This window comes from Homo sapiens, chromosome 3 (genome assembly GCF_000001405.40).
Source record: "Homo sapiens chromosome 3, GRCh38.p14 Primary Assembly".
NCBI classification, from domain to species: Eukaryota; Metazoa; Chordata; class Mammalia; order Primates; family Hominidae; genus Homo; species Homo sapiens.
In genome coordinates, this window is record NC_000003.12 from 42,716,461 (window position 1) to 42,731,937 (window position 15,477).

Below are 15,477 nucleotides of genomic sequence, written 5' to 3' on the forward strand. Positions count from 1 at the left end.
AATTTCCAAAAAACATAAAGAGCTACTACAACTCAACAACAGGACAAACAACCCAATTAAAAAGTAGGCAAAAGACTTGTGTTTCTCCAAAGAAAATATACAAATGTCCAATAAGCACATAAATAGATGCTCAACATCATTAGCCATTAGGGAAATGCAAATCCAAACCACAAAGAGATATCACTTCAAACCTACTAGGATGGCTATTATTGAAAAAAAGGAAAATAAGTGTTGGTGAGGATATAGAAAAATTAGAACCCTTGTACACTGCTGGTGGGACTATAAAGTGGTGCAGCCATTGTGGAAAAGTTTGGTGGCTCCTTAAAAAGCTAACCATAAAATTACCCTATGATCAAACAATTCCACTTCTCAAATTGAAAACGGGGACTCAAACAGGTACTTGTACAGCAATGTTCTTGTAGCATTATTCACAATAGCCAAAAAGGTGGAAACAATCCAAGTGTCCATCAACAGATGAATAGATTGACAAAATGTGGTACATGCACACAATAAAATATTATTCAGTCATAAAAAGGAATGAAGTTCTGACATATGCTACCATACGGATGAACCTTGGAAACACTGTGCCAAGTAAAATAAGCCAGACACGAAAGGGTAAATATTGCATGACTCCACTTATACAAAATATCTAGAATAGGCAAATTCATAGAAAAGAGGTTACTGGCTGGGCATGGTGGCTCATGCATGTAATCCCGACACTTTGGGAGGCTGAAGCGGGTGGATCACCAGAGGTCAGGAGTTCAAGACCAGCCTGGCCAACATGGCGAAACCCCATCTCTACTAAAAATACAAAAATTAGCTGGGCATGGTGGTGGGTGCTTGTAGTCCCAACTATTTGGGAGGCTGAGACAGAAGAATTGCTTGAATCCGGGAGGCAGAGGTTGCAGTGAGCCGAGATCATGCCATTGCACTCAAGACTCGGCAACAAGCGAGAATCCATCTCAAAAAAAAAAAAAATAAGTAAAGAGGTTACTAGATGCTGGGCTTAGTGGGTGGCGTATGAGGAGCTATTGCTTAATAGTAATAGAGTTTCTGTTTGTGGTTATGAAAAAGTTTGGAAATAGAGATAACGGTTGCACAGTATTGTTAATGTAATCAGTGCCACTGAATTGTATACTTTTAATGGTTAAAATGACAAATGTTTGGTGTATATAGCTTACCACAATTAAAACATACATATACCACACAAATTTATTATTTCACAGTTTCTGTAGGTTAGAAGTCCAAGGTTGGCCTAGCTAATTTGTCAGTGTCTTACATGGCTGAAGTCAAGGTGTCAGAAGGAGTTGCTATCTCATCTGATGCATGGGATCCTTTTCCAAGCTCACTCAGGTTGTTAGCAGAAGTTAGTCCCCTGTAGTTCTAGGACTGTGGTCTCCATTTTCTTGCTGGCTAATGACTTGGTTGGTTGTCAGCTCCTAGATTTTTCTCCCTATTCTGGAGTTCAGGTATGTTACCCAGCTGGGTCTAACGATGTGTCTTCGTCCATTTTGTGTTGTTATTGCATAATACCACAACCATCCACCGCCATGTTGTTCTCTCCAAAGCACAGTGGTTTTGTCAGAGGCGTTTGAACAAGAGCAACTCCATCTTAAATAGGAGCTGGGTGAAATAAGGCTGAAACCAACTGCTGCATTCCCAGATGGTTAAGGCATTCTAAGTCACAGGATGAGATAGGAGGTCAGCACAAGATACAGGGTCATAAAGACCCTGCTGATAGAACAGGTTACAGTAAAAAAGGTGGTCCAAACCCACCAAAACCAAGATGATGATGAAAGTGACCTCTGGATGTCCTCACTGCTACACTCCCACCAGCGCCATGACAGTTTACAGATGCCACGGCAATGCCAGGAAGTTACCCTATATGGCCTAGAAAGGGGAGGCATAAATAACCCACCCCTTGTTTAGCACATCATCAAGAAATAACCATAAAAACGGGCAACCAGCAGCCCTGGGGACTGCTGTGTCTGTGGAGTAGCCATTCTTTTATTCCTTTACTTTCTTAATAAACTTGCTTTTGCTTTGTGCTGTGGACTCGCCCTGAATTCTTTCTTGCATGAGATCCAAGAACCCTCTCTTGGGGTCTGGATCGGGACCCTTTCCTGTAACATCTTTCTGGTGGCCACTGAAGGGACTAAAGTGAGGAAACCCCCAACTCAAAGGTTAACTTTGCATAAGTGTTGGGGTCCTGTAACATCTTTCTGGTGACCACGGAAGCGACTATAGTGAGGAAACCCCTGACCCAAAGGCTAACTTTGGGTAAGTGGTGGGATCCAGTAACATCTTTCTGGTGAACCACAGAAGGGATGATACTGAGGAGAACCCCCCAACCCAAAGGAAATAGACTTCAGCACTGATTGGATGACTTTGGGTAAGTGGGGTACATAAACCCAGGTAAAGGATGGGATTGGGTTAGAGGCCCAACTTAGGGGAGTTAGCATCTCTCCTAAGACAAAGTGGGTCAGAGGCCCCTCTTAATAAAAAACAAAGATGCTTGACTGACCTTGGGTTAGAGGCCCAACTTAGGAGGGTTAGAGTCCCTTCTAAGATGTAGGGAGTTAGTGGTCCTCTCAGTAAAGTTCCTCTCGGTAAAGTCCCTTTCAGCTAAAAATGGGTTTGGCACTCCGGGATGTTAACTGCTATTCTCTTTGGATTAATCTGTCTTGCACTCTTCGCTGATGGCTGTGGGTGACAAGATTAGGCACGTACAGGACTGTGGGACATGGGGAGCTTTTTCTTCCCTAAAAGGGAAAGCTGAGAGCAGATGGGACTGCTGGAAAAGATCCCTTCACTTACTGACAAGCAGCCGCCTGAACTTTTCAGTGTCGCTGCAATGGGTGGGTCTTTCTCTGGCCTCTCTGAGCACCTCACCTTCCCCACTCTGCCTCAGGCAGTGCTTTCCTCTCTCTCTCTCTCTCTCTCTCTCTCTCTCTCTCTCTCTCTCTGTGCAGACTGGTAAAAATCATTGTTTATCTCCTGTAAAGTTTTAATTAATTAGAAAAAGGATTTGTGAGGCTAGTCTTAAGCTGCAGCGAATCTGGTGTGCTTTACGTGTTTTTCTGTATTGTTCCATCATAAAGAGGGGTACCTTATGATGGAACACAGGCTTAGGACACCCATAAGCCTGCTTTTCAAGACGGCCCAGCAAACTGGTCAGTTACAAACTTTGCTGCAGATCCCTGAAAAACCTGGATGAGGTTTCCTTCTTGTCTTGTAAATCCTTGGGAGCTTGACCTTGTAACCATGTGGCCATGCTTTCTCTTTTCACAATGGCAGCCTGGGTTCAGGGTTCCATTCCCAGCTTAGGGGATGACTCCTTTATCTTCTGTCTATATGTATATGTATTATGTGTGTGATGTTTATACATGAAAGAACTTTAATTGGTTTGAAAATAATAAGAGCTTAAATATTTTATCAGAAAAATAAAAAGCATAATGTCTTTTAGTTCCTGTGACTTAAGTAATTTTTGGGAAATAGAGTTTTAAAGATTATTGGTAAAATAAAAATATCTTCAAAAATGTAAACATTTAGTCTAAATTATGCAGGTCAGATATTACATTTACTAAATTCTTTAAGATCATAAACTGCTTCTTTGACTTTTGAAAATTGTTCAATTTACCTACTTTGGAGCATTAGATTCTACATAAGGCCTGGGGACATGTGGAATTAGCCATGCCCCCTAGCTATGCAAAGATGGTTATAAAGAAAAGAGATTTTATGTAAGAAAGGATGTTGTATGGTAAATTCTCGTCCTAAAGTAAAATGACTAGTTGTTTAAAAAAAGGGAATTTACGCAAGAAATGTTGTGTAATTTGAAGGTTGTTAGGCCTCCTAAATGCCTCGTAAAATGCCATTATGACTCTTAACTGTATGACTTACCTGCTTTACAGCTAGGTAAGGCCTGGGACACATTAGAAGTTAGACGCTGGAAAGAGTCAGACCTTATCTGCACTTCTGTTTGCTGTCCTAGGCTCCATACTAGTACATAATTAAAATCCCAAACTTACCAAGGTTTTCACCAAAAGTAAAAGTTGCTAAGAGTTAACACTGTAACATGTAATTGAGACTACTGAAGAAACAGTTTTACATGCGAGGTGTGTAAAGAAAGTGAAATGTGTTTTTGGTGAAAAATTATAAGAAGTCATGGGAATGTGGATTTTTCTTGCCTAGATTAAAGGTTAAAGGATTGTTTTAAGTTAGAATAAAACTAAAGGTTTAAGCAAGGGGTGGAAGGTTTGTGAAAAATTAATTGTAAAAGACATTCTGTGTGTGAACATACTGACTAAAGTTAAAGGGGTATTATTCAGCTTTTCCGTCAATTAAACATTGGAATAAAAGCACAACAGGTTTTTCTTAGAGCAAAAACCTGCCTATGATCTCTTTAACAAAAATTTGTAAAGGGTTATACAAAGTTTGTAAGAATCTCACCTTATGTTCAAACTGATTAAGATTAAATAAATTTATCTATAAGGTTTTATTAAGAATTGGATTTGACATCAATAACGCACTAATGCTACAGTAACATTTGGCTTATCGGGTATAAAAATCATATAGAAAGCATTGTCAAATATGAAATAGTGTTTGGCTTTCGTCAGGCTATATTTGTATAAATGTGTTACTGGTATATGTTCCAAAATTATTTTTAAAACTCCTATAATTCTGATATGACTTAATGTGTTATTAATAATTATTACATAAAATCATTGTGTGCCACAGAGGCAACCAAAATTTCCTAGTCAATTGTGGATTTAATAGTGGCTGTCCTAAGACTTTTTATCATCTACAATTGTTGTCCTGTTTTAATCCTCTTTAGAAGGTGGTTTATAATCAACTACAGGACTTTGACAGATGTTCTTGAATGCAAGTTTCTGATAACTTTGGAAATTGTAACATTAGAATAGAGGAAAACACTTTCAGGACTCATAGAGAGCTGAAATGTTCCTGAATATCAAACAGAAGTTAACTGCATGTACTAAACTGAAGAAGTCTAAAGTAATCTTTTTAATTTTGTTTCAAACGTTGCTGATCCTTTGTTTTGTTTTTCAGAGTCAAGGAAACTTTTCAGCTATTTACAGCTTTTAACAATTGAGTAAAGCATACTCCTGTGAACAAAATTTGGAACATATTTGTTTCTCTCTACCTGATTTCTCCACAATTTGGAAACTATGTGTGAGTATTCTTAACTTATGGCAACGTAGTTATTTGCATAATTGCAATACAAATCTGTTTTCTTTTGCAACAGGACACAATTGGAGAAATTGGTTATTTTACCAAAACTTTGACTTGAATGGTGTGCTTTCCTTTAAGGAATCAAATTTGACTTGTAGAGCCAATAAAAACCCCTTGGGCAACTGACCTTGTTTATTCCTGTGAGCCAGCCAGTGATCTCTGACTGCTGTCCAGAAGAAACACGAGGGATGGGTCATGTGAAAATCTGGAACAGTATTCTAATTCTGGGCATGTATTGGAATTGGCTAGCAACCCCATATCAGCTTGGTTCCAACAGTTGGCCAGTTCATGGAAAGCCTTCTAATTTAGTTTACTTGGGATAATTTTACTTACCTTGCTTTACTGTTGTGGAATATATTGCTGTTGTACTCTTTGTATAGGAATGCAGGATAAGCTTACTGAATACTTTCTTAAATTGAACACTTATTAATCTTCCAGATATCACCTTTTGTTGGACTCAAGAGTTATGAATGGCCCTCACCATACTGATGCTTTCTGACTGAGCTCCTCACTACCCTGAACACAAGAGGGAGGAATATCATCGCCCCTATTCAGCCTGGAGAAGTTACAAAAGATGGATCTTCGTCCCTCTGCAACCCTTAGGATTAATGGTTCTCCTATAAAAGGGATGGGGGGAAAATGTCAGAGGCATTTGAACAAGAGCAACTCCATCTTAAAGAGGAGCTGGGTAAAATAAGGCTGAAACCTACTGGGCTGCATTCCCAGATGGTTAAGGCATTCTAAGTCACAGGATGAGATGGGAGGTTGGCACAAAATACAGGTCATAAAGACCCTGCTGATAAAACAGGTTGCAGTAAAGAAGCTGGCCAAAACCCACCAAAACCAAGATGGCAATGAGACTGACCTCTGGTCGTCCTCACTGCTACACTCCCATCAGTGCCATGACAGTTTACAGATGCCATGGCAACATCAGGAAGTTACCCTATATGGCCTAGAAAGGGGAGGCATGAATAATCCACCTCTTGTTTAGCATATCATCAAGAAATAACCATAAAAATGGACAACCAGCAGCCCTGGGGACTGCTGTGCCTGTGGAGTAGCCATTCTTTTATTCCTTTACTTTTTTTTTTTTTTTTTTTTTTTGGAGACGAGTCTCGCTCAGTCACCCAGGCTGGAGTGCAGTGGCACTATCTCGGCTCATTGCAAGCTCCGCCTCCCAGGTTCACGCCATTCTCCTGCCTCAGCCTCCCGTGTAGCTGGGACTACAGGTGCCCACCACTACGCCCAGCTAATTTTCTTGTATTTTTAGTAGAGACGGGGTTTCACCCTGTTAGCCAGGATGGTCTCGATCTCCTGACCTCGTGACCTGCCCATCTCGGCCTCCCAAAGTGCTGGGATTACAGGCGTGAGCCACCGCACCTGGCCTATTCCTTTACTTTCTTAATAAACTTGCGTTTACTTTGCACTGTGGACTCCGCCTGAATTCTTTCTTGCAGGAGATCCAAGAACCCTCTCTTGGGGTCTGGATCAAAACTCCCTTTCCTGTAACAGTTTGCAGGAGAATGTCTTCAAGGCCAGCAAGAAAATACTGCTTCCACTCTGGCTTCCTCTGTCTCTGACAGCTAGACTCAGACTAAAAGGACTCATATGATTAGGTCAGGCCCACTCAGAGAGCCTCCTGTTTGATTAACACAAAGTCATCTGATGAGTAACCTTAAATAGCTCTGCAAAATCCCCTTGGCCATGTAAGTTAACATAATTGTGGCAATAATATCCTACCATATTCACAGGTTCTGCCCACGCTCAAGGGAAGAGAAGTTTATAAGGCATGTATATCGGGGGTGGGAATGTTAGAATTCTGCCTACCACAGTAAAAATAGAGGAAAAAAGAAAGAACATTAAATTCAATGGCATTGTAAGAGAGTAACACAACATAGTTCCAAGAACACTAGAGCTGTAAGATTCAACATCGGAATTAGGTTAAAGGAAAAAATCAGGTAATCCTTCCAATAGATACTGAAGAAGCACTGGTAAAATCAGTAGCTATTCCTGACTTTAAAAACTCAAAGTAAAATGAGAATAGAAGGAAACAACACAATAAAGTATTTTAAAATCAGAAACTAATAACCCATCAATAGAAGAATGGTAAATAAATAACAGTGGATTTATACAATAAAATATTCTGTAACCATAAAAGGAAAACGTACTGACATGAAAATGCAATATACTAAGTAAAATAAGTAGCAGAAGATTATGCATACTATATGATCTAATTAAAAAATTTACAACAAATTAAAAATTTAAAAACAAATAAATATAAGGTTAATATAATTCAGCCACTTGACTGAAAACAAAAAGGAATATGTGGCAGCTATTGACTCAACTGTGGGGGAGGGGCTTTCACTTTTCTGTTATGAATTTCAATAATGTATGCATTTTGTTTAACTCCATTTATAATAGGGGAAATAATAAACCAACAGCAAAACATCATATAAAATAGCAAACCACATTGTGAATTCCCACAAAATTTTAGGAATAAGCAAACTCTTGATTTCTCTCCTTCTCCCCTATAACGTGCCTTCCACATCTCAATAAATATTATCCTCACTCATGCAGTTGCTCAGCCCAGATACCCGGGGGTCACCCTTGCCTTCTCTTTCTTCCTCATCTTCAGCTTCCAATCTATCAGCAGGCTCTACAACTTTTCCTGCAAATATGCACCAAAACCAGCTCTTTCTCTGTCCTCGCCCCCTCTCCAGACCTGAGGCTGCTCCTCCTGCCTGGGATCTACAGATGTCCGTAAGCTTCAAGACCTCTTGCACACTTTGGTATTCTGATTATTCTCTTTTGACCAATCTCTGGTCTCACTGATTTTCTTCAGTTGTTAACAGGCCTAACTCAGCTAGATCCTAATTTGTCAATGTATTTGATTGCGATTCTAATAGTTCTCCAAACTCATGTTCATCAATCTCATGAAATTCCAAATATTTTGAAAGATTTACCTTTTTGCTTCATAATTGATTTTCATTGTATTTCAAGAGTCTGACCAAAGTGACCCAATGCCAATGTGAAGTGAAGAATATTAAATAGTCAAATGATGACTGTTTTAATATTAAAAATTTTGCTTTCATGGGGACTGTAACTGTGGGGGTGCTGGTAAAAAATACTCAGATAAGGAGGTTTCCCCCTACCTAAGAATGCTAAGAATGAATTTAGCATAATGACACAAAATCTTCATGAAGACAAACATACATAATATTACACATTATATACATAATACCATATATATGATACATAAAGTGTTCTTTTATAAGTCAAATAAAAATATAAACAACTCTAAAACATGTGCAATGGCATGAATAGGTAGTTAAAAGAAAAAAACATAAAAGTTATGTGGAAAATATACTTATCCTCACTTTTGGTCATAGCAAAGCAGATAAAAACAAGGAGATATTAGCATTTCCTTGTTAGTTTGGCAAAAATGTTAAAGATTAATAAAACATAGTAACTGTGAGGGTATGGGGAAAACAGTTCACATTATTGGTAAGAATGTAAATTGATTCATTTTAAAAGGCAATTTGTCATGATTTGTGAACATTTTAAATGTGCATATTCTTTGATTCAGCCATTTCTTTTTTAGGAATTTGTGATACAGATATACTCCCATAAAAATGTAAAGATGCATTTAATGTAAGTCTATAAAAATATAAAAATTAGCCAGGCATGTTGGCATGTGCCTGTGGTCCCAGCTACTCCAGAGGCTGAGGTGGGAGGATCACTGGAGCCCGGGAAGTTGAGGCTGCAGTGAGCTGTGATCACACCACTGCACTCCAGCCTGGGTGACAGAGTGAGACCCTGTCTCAAAAAAAAAAAAAAAGAGGACTAAGATAATATCCATCTACAAGTTCAGGAAAGTAGTAAGGAAGCCTGCAGTCTATCAGGGCCTTGGGAAATGGGGAGGAGGGGAGGAAGCACCAATCATGTGAAACTGAAACACAAGGGCAGCATTCATGTGTTCAGGGAATCTAAGCCAATAAATTCACATAAAGTACCAATCAGAGACCACTGAAACCCTAAAAGCTTCACAGAGACAAATGCAGAACACCTCCACAGAAACACGGTCATCACCTAAGAACTCCTACAAGGAAAAAAGCCCCACTGAAGATAAGCTCATAAAATCACAAAAATTGAAACCACACAAGGAAATAATTTACTACAAGGGGAGAGCCGACAGACATTACTTAGGATCCTAATTAATGAAGATGGTAGAAAACTCTAAAGGGAATAAGTTCAAAATTATTTAAAGGAGAAAGGCAAAAATTGTAATGAAAGAACAAATGCTATAAGAAAGAGAACAAGAGGGTTTTGTTGTTGTTGTTTTGTTTTTGAGACGGGGGTGTTTTGCTCTTTTTGCCCAGGCTGGAGTGGAGTGGCGTGATCTTGGCTCACTGCAACCTCCGCCTCCCAGGTTCAAGCAATTCTGCTTCAGCCTCCCAAGTTGCTGGGATTACAGGTGCCTGCCACCACACCTGGCTAATTTTTGGATTCTTAGTAGAGATGGGGTTTCACCACGTTGGCCAGGGTGGTCTTGAATTCCTGACCTCAGGTGATTCACCCACCTCGGCCTCCCAAAGTGCTGGGATTACAGGCATGAGCCACTGTGCCTGGCTGAGAACAGGAGCTTTTACCGAAAAATACAGTTATCAAAATAGGTTTCATGGTAGATGAAGCACAACTGAAGATATTTAGTGATCTAGAAAGCTGATTTGAAGAAATCACCCAGAATTCAGCCCAAAATAGTAAGGGTAAAGAGATGTGGAGGAAAGAATAAGTCTAACATATATGGACTAGGAATTTTAGATTAAAAGAATAGGGAGAGTGAGGAAGAGGCAATATATGGACAGCAGTCCTTGGGAATATATAAAGTCCTTGGATTGAAAAAGAACACTAACTTCTGAGTAGATAAAATTACGTATAACATATTTACATATATTTACATATGTATACTTTACATATACATACATACAAATATACACACATATTTACATGTATATATAAAATATATATTTACATATATGTAAAGTCACACATATATACATATATACATATATGGGCATATTACATATATACATATGTGTGTGTGTATACGTATATGTATATACGTATCACAGTGAAATTTCAAAGCTTCAAAGACAAAGAGAATAATCTGAAGAAGCATCGGAGAGAAAGGACAAATCTATTAAGGAATGACAATAAAACTGATAGCAGATTTCTTTTTAGCAATAGTAGATGATAAAAAACAATAGGATAGCCTGAAAGTGCTGAGAAAAAAATACCCATCTATTTAGAATTCTATGCCCAAATTTCTCTTAAATTCTCATTCAAGACAGGCAAAATAAAGACATTTAAAAATAAACAGGCCAGGCGTGGTGGCTCATGCCCTTACTCCCAGCACTTTGGGAGGCTGAGGCAGGCAGATCACCTGAGGTCAGGAGTTCGAAATCAGCCTGGCCAACATGGTGAAACCCCATCTCTACTAAAAATACAAAAATTAGCTGGGCGTAGTGGCTCACACCTGTAGTCCCAGCTACTCGGGAGGCTGAGGCACTAGAACCACTTGAACCTGGGAGGCGGAGGTTGCAGTAAGCTGAGATCATGCCACTGCACGCCAGCCTGGGTGACAGAGAGAGACTCGGTCTCAAAAAAAGAAAAGAAAAATAAATAAATAAATAAATAAAATAAAAATAAACAAATACTCAGAGAGTTTACTATTTACATGGCCTCACTGAACTAAAGGGCATCTCAGTAAGAAGGAAAGTGAACCTAGAAGGAAGATTGAGATACAAGAAGTAACAGTGAGTGAAGACATTTTCAAACATGTTGGCAAAAGGAAACGAATATTCACTATTCAGTATTCAAGACTTACTTTGGAGGGTTTAATTTCAGGGTTTAAAAAAAGAATGTGGAAGAGAAATATTAGGAAACAGTAACATGAAAGGCACAAACGGAGAAATCAAAGTTAAAACATTCTAAATGTATTCTTTTGCTTAAAGTGATAGTAGCAAAACCAACTAACTTTAGATTGCTGAGTTTGATGTTAAAAGTTAAGGGTGACCACTAAAAGAACAGAGATAGAATATCTAACTTCCAAACTTGCAAAGAAGTAAGAGAAATAAAACTTGATCAGTCCAATATAAGGGAAGAAAGGAGAAAAAAAGGAACAAAGAAAAATCATGGCAAATAGAAAATATTAATTAAAGTGATTAAATATTACCAAAATCAAAGTGGATTAAACGATACTGTTCAAACACAGAAATTCCCAGATTAAATTTAAGAACAAAGCCGACTACGTGCTTTTTAAAAAAGAGACATATTTAGTGACTTTTGTCATGGTGGACTAACCAACTCCTATTGTAAGTAACTAGAAAAATTGATAAAATGTAAGAAAGAACTTGTTTTCAGACAATGGACAACAGGACGACACACACTGGATACAAGACTTGAGGAAAGGAAGGACTTGAGCTTGGCTCGCCCTTGGCCTTGGCTTTCTGCCTGAGGCACTTTCCACTGCAGGGTGGGGTGGGGGCAGCCACGCAGAGCACCCTGGGATGCTGGGATGAGCACACAGGATTAGGGAACTGGGTGGGGGAGGGCAACTGAGGCAGCTGGAAATTGTAGGGCAGAGTAGAGGAGAAGGGAAGCTAGGCAGAGAAAGACTCCCCCCCACCCTCCCCTGTGCAAGGCTGGGACAGACTCTGCAGATAAAGAAAGGAGTAGATATTGAGGATCTCTGAGAAACGAAGGTCCTGTACTTTGGGATAGTTAAAACATTAGTTAAAACGTTTAGTTTTACTTTAAAATAGTTCCTTTGGTTTAATTGGCCAATCATCAGTTTTGAAAGGAATCATCATTTTTGATGATTGGCCAATTTAGTTATAACAAAATGGTTTTAGTTTAAAACATTTAGTTTTAAACCAAATAGATTTGAGGGAATTTGAGTGCAGAAGGTACCTGGGTTCCCTTTTCTTGTTACAGCCCAGGGACTTAGCAATAACCTCAAGGAAAAAAGGCAACAGGTGTTGGTTGATGGGCCTGGCACAGCCTCACAGAGCCCCAACACCCCAGGATGACACAGAGTAGCAGGAGGAACCCAAGGACCCAAAAAGGGCCAGCATATTCGCAGACAGAGAGTTGCATGTATGTGACTGGGTGTGAGCACCTCTTTACATTTCATACCCCAGGTGCCCTGCTTGCCTCACCCAATCCTAGCCCTGTGTGGAGAGGCCCTGAAAATGAGATCTCACATGGAGACAGAAGCCACATGAAGGAGAACTGAGGCATCCCTGCTGAAGTGCCAGCTGCATGAGACCAGTGAGTGACCCCAGCTGACATTATGTGGGGTAGAATTACCCAGCCAAGCCACAGAATCGTGAGAAAGCACAAACCATTGTGTTTGAAGCCACTAGGTTTGGGATGGTTTGTTATGCAGCAATAGCTAACTGAGTCACCTTTTTCACACACCCCCAAACTCGGATGTAACTCAAGAGAAATGAGAGAGAAAGCCTGCATTGAGTATGTTTCTACTACTTGATAGACTAAAGACTTGTACTATCCATTACATTCCAATTATAGAAAAAGAATCAATGTTGCTTTTCTCATATACTTGAGTATGTCTGAAATTCACATCATCTCTATGTACTATGTGAAAGCAAAGCTGACCACTCACTATTTAGGTAGCAGGCATCCTTTGTTTTGTCCTTCCCTGCACCCCTAGCTCCTTCTTTTGCTATCAGTACCCCCATTTTCCCTTTGGCAAACTACCTTTCCTGCATTCTGTGAGCACCCGGAGGAACTTCAGTCAGAGTGCCCTCACATGTGGGGTGGATACGGGCGCAGCACTGGCCAGTTCAACCTTCTCTCCCAGAACCCATGGGCACAAGAGCTAAAAGCCATTTGGCCATGCCATTTCAGTGGCCCAGGGAACTGCCTAGGGTTTCCTGCTACCAAAGATGCCTGCACCTTCTCAGGCTCCTCTCCTGCTCTCTGCATTGGAGTCTGCCAGTACCTTCCAAAAATCTGCCTTTCACTGAATTCAGCCAGAATTGCTTTCTATTGTCTGTCATCAAAGAGCCTTGACTGATACATGATATAGCCTGTTAGGGCAGAAACTCAGTGGTGTGCTTAATATTTTTCAGTGTGGAGGTCACATGGTTGAGCCATGTGTTGGCCTGGACACCTGCAATTCTTGCCAAAAGGATCATTTGAGCGAGGAGCACTGATTTATCTGAACGGAAGTCTGTCAACAACCCTTTAGAGAAAACCATACCTCCTGGTCCAGTGCCTCAGGCCTCGTGCTTCCCTCCCTGCCTCCCCAGCTATCAGCACCTCTCTTGTTCTTTCCAATTCCAGATGTCAGTCTAGCTTGTGTTTTCTTCCCACCAAACCCTCCAGCAGCACCAAGCACAGTGCCAGGCTCATCACAGATTTTAATTATTGATGGATTGATTTGACTGATTTACTTCTGGGTGTCTCTCCCCCGAGACTCCCAGCAATGTCCACATGCCATACAACAGTCCCATTGGGTGCATGTAGAATGGGGCTGTTCCTAAGGGCAAAACACAGTGTGACGACAAGGCCCCAAGGTTGTGGGGCGCATGAGTTGTGGCTAGGAATGCCCTGGACCAACACTGGGAGCCGAGCTCTCAGGTGAGGAGGACCCAGTCATAAATGAGGCCTGGCCCCAGTCCCCACCACATGCAGGCCTATGGGAGAGATCCCTGGGTGCCATGTGTTACCGTTTCTGCAGGACAGTGACAAACTCGGTGAGCCGGTCACGCTCCACCTCGGCAGCCTGCCAGAGGGCCTTGATCTCTGACACTTGTGCCTGCCAGCCTTTTTGTTCTGGGGAGTCCGAGAACCTGGGACCAGGGTGGAGGGCAGAGGGCAGAGGTCATCCGAGGCCTAGAAATAACACTTACCCCTGTGATGGTTGGAGGGACTAGAAGGACATTCAGGGCGAATGTCAGCCAGAGCAAAGGAAGCAAACCCAGTCCCTCTAGGTCCTCCCCTGCTGGCTTCTTTGCCCACCATTCCTGGTCCTGCTGAAGTCCCTAGGCTCCAAAGCTGAACCTACCAGAACTAGAGTTACACTGGTACCTCTGTCCATCCAAGCCCTGTGGGGGCCTGGAATTAGTCTGGTGCTGTGGCAGGTGGCTCTTGGGGACCTGGGGTGCCCTGGGTATCTGTGTGGCCTTTGGGGCCTGGCTGCCCTACCCAGTGTCAGGTGTGCCCAGTCTCTGTGTCCCTGCCAGTCTCTCCCAGCCCTCCTGCATCTTCTGGCTTGGTCCCCAAGCCCAGCCCACTTTCCTGGAGCCTGTGCATTTGGCTTTGTGACTTGTTCAATTTTCTCCAGCCCTAAGCCAACCCATCACTGCTTCCCTCTTACCTGCTGGCTGGAGCCAGGACAGAAGGTAAACTCTGCCCCCCAACTTCAACCCCCCAGAGCCCACATGTGAGTTCCAAGCTGCTCTCCGCTGTGCCCCCACTTTTCCCAGTGAGACCCTGAGCTTACTTTTCTAGCAGTACAGGGCATAGGGAAGGCTGCAGAGCTGGGCAGTGTACTGAAAACTGGGCTGGGGCATGTGATCCTGAGGGCTGACTTCTCGGTGGTCTTGGGCAGGTCTCTTCCTCTCTCTTGGCCCCAGTTCCCCCACTAAACATTGAGAGGGGTGGTTTAGATGGGCTCCGAGAACTGCAGACCCCTCTGTGACTCCTAAATATGCTCTAAGGCCTTGCTACTACAAGTGGTCTCTGAATCGGTGGCTCTGGCATCTCCTAGCAGCTTGTTAGAAATGCAGAATCCCAGGCTTTACCCCAGACCTGCTGAATCAGAACCCACACTTGACCTGGCTGATCAGCAGGGGCTCTGTGTGTGCACTGCAGTTTGGAAAGCCCCATTCATTTCCCCAGTTCTAGAATGTGGGAAGAGGAGGAGCAGGAGCAAAGGGCCGATTCTTCACTCTGCCCTCCTCCCAGGCACCCCACCAGAGTCACCTGAAGGGAATGGGTTCAAACCATGCCAGCCCGAATAGACATACTCTCTGGGATCACTCTGCCCTGTGAATTCCTGTCCTGTCACCTGTGGGAGGGGACTGTAAGCTCCATGAGGGTAGGGCCCACACATGGTCGAGTTTAGTAAGTATTTGTGTGTTGTGGAAGAAACAAGCCTGACAACCAGCAGTCTGGGCAGCCAAGGCACAGAGCAGC

General features: G+C 41.8%; 1 protein-coding gene across 6 annotated transcripts in view, besides 1 other annotated feature; it reads right to left on the bottom strand.

The window, feature by feature from the left end:
• CCDC13 (coiled-coil domain containing 13) overlaps positions 1-15,477 on the bottom strand; it is a 69,136-nt gene that overhangs the window by 12,343 nt on the left and 41,316 nt on the right. For 4 of the 6 annotated variants that reach the window (XR_940385.1, NM_144719.4, XM_017005781.2 and 1 more), the window contains one exon: positions 14,007-14,129. The exons of the other annotated variants lie outside the window; for them this stretch is intronic. Coding sequence is in view for 3 of the 4 variants with exons in the window: in NM_144719.4 (NP_653320.3) it covers positions 14,007-14,129 (123 nt within the window). In the remaining variant the exon portion in view is untranslated. The remainder of the gene's footprint in view (positions 1-14,006; positions 14,130-15,477) is intronic. 6 annotated transcript variants of the gene reach the window in all.
• Positions 13,985-14,484: an enhancer, noted in NCBI's record as "H3K4me1 hESC enhancer chr3:42771937-42772436 (GRCh37/hg19 assembly coordinates)". NCBI's record gives its function as "activates a minimal SCP1, AML or CMV promoter by ChIP-STARR-seq in primed H9 embryonic stem cells {active_cell/tissue: H9 hESC(primed)}" and the evidence as "EXISTENCE:reporter gene assay evidence [ECO:0000049][PMID:30033119]".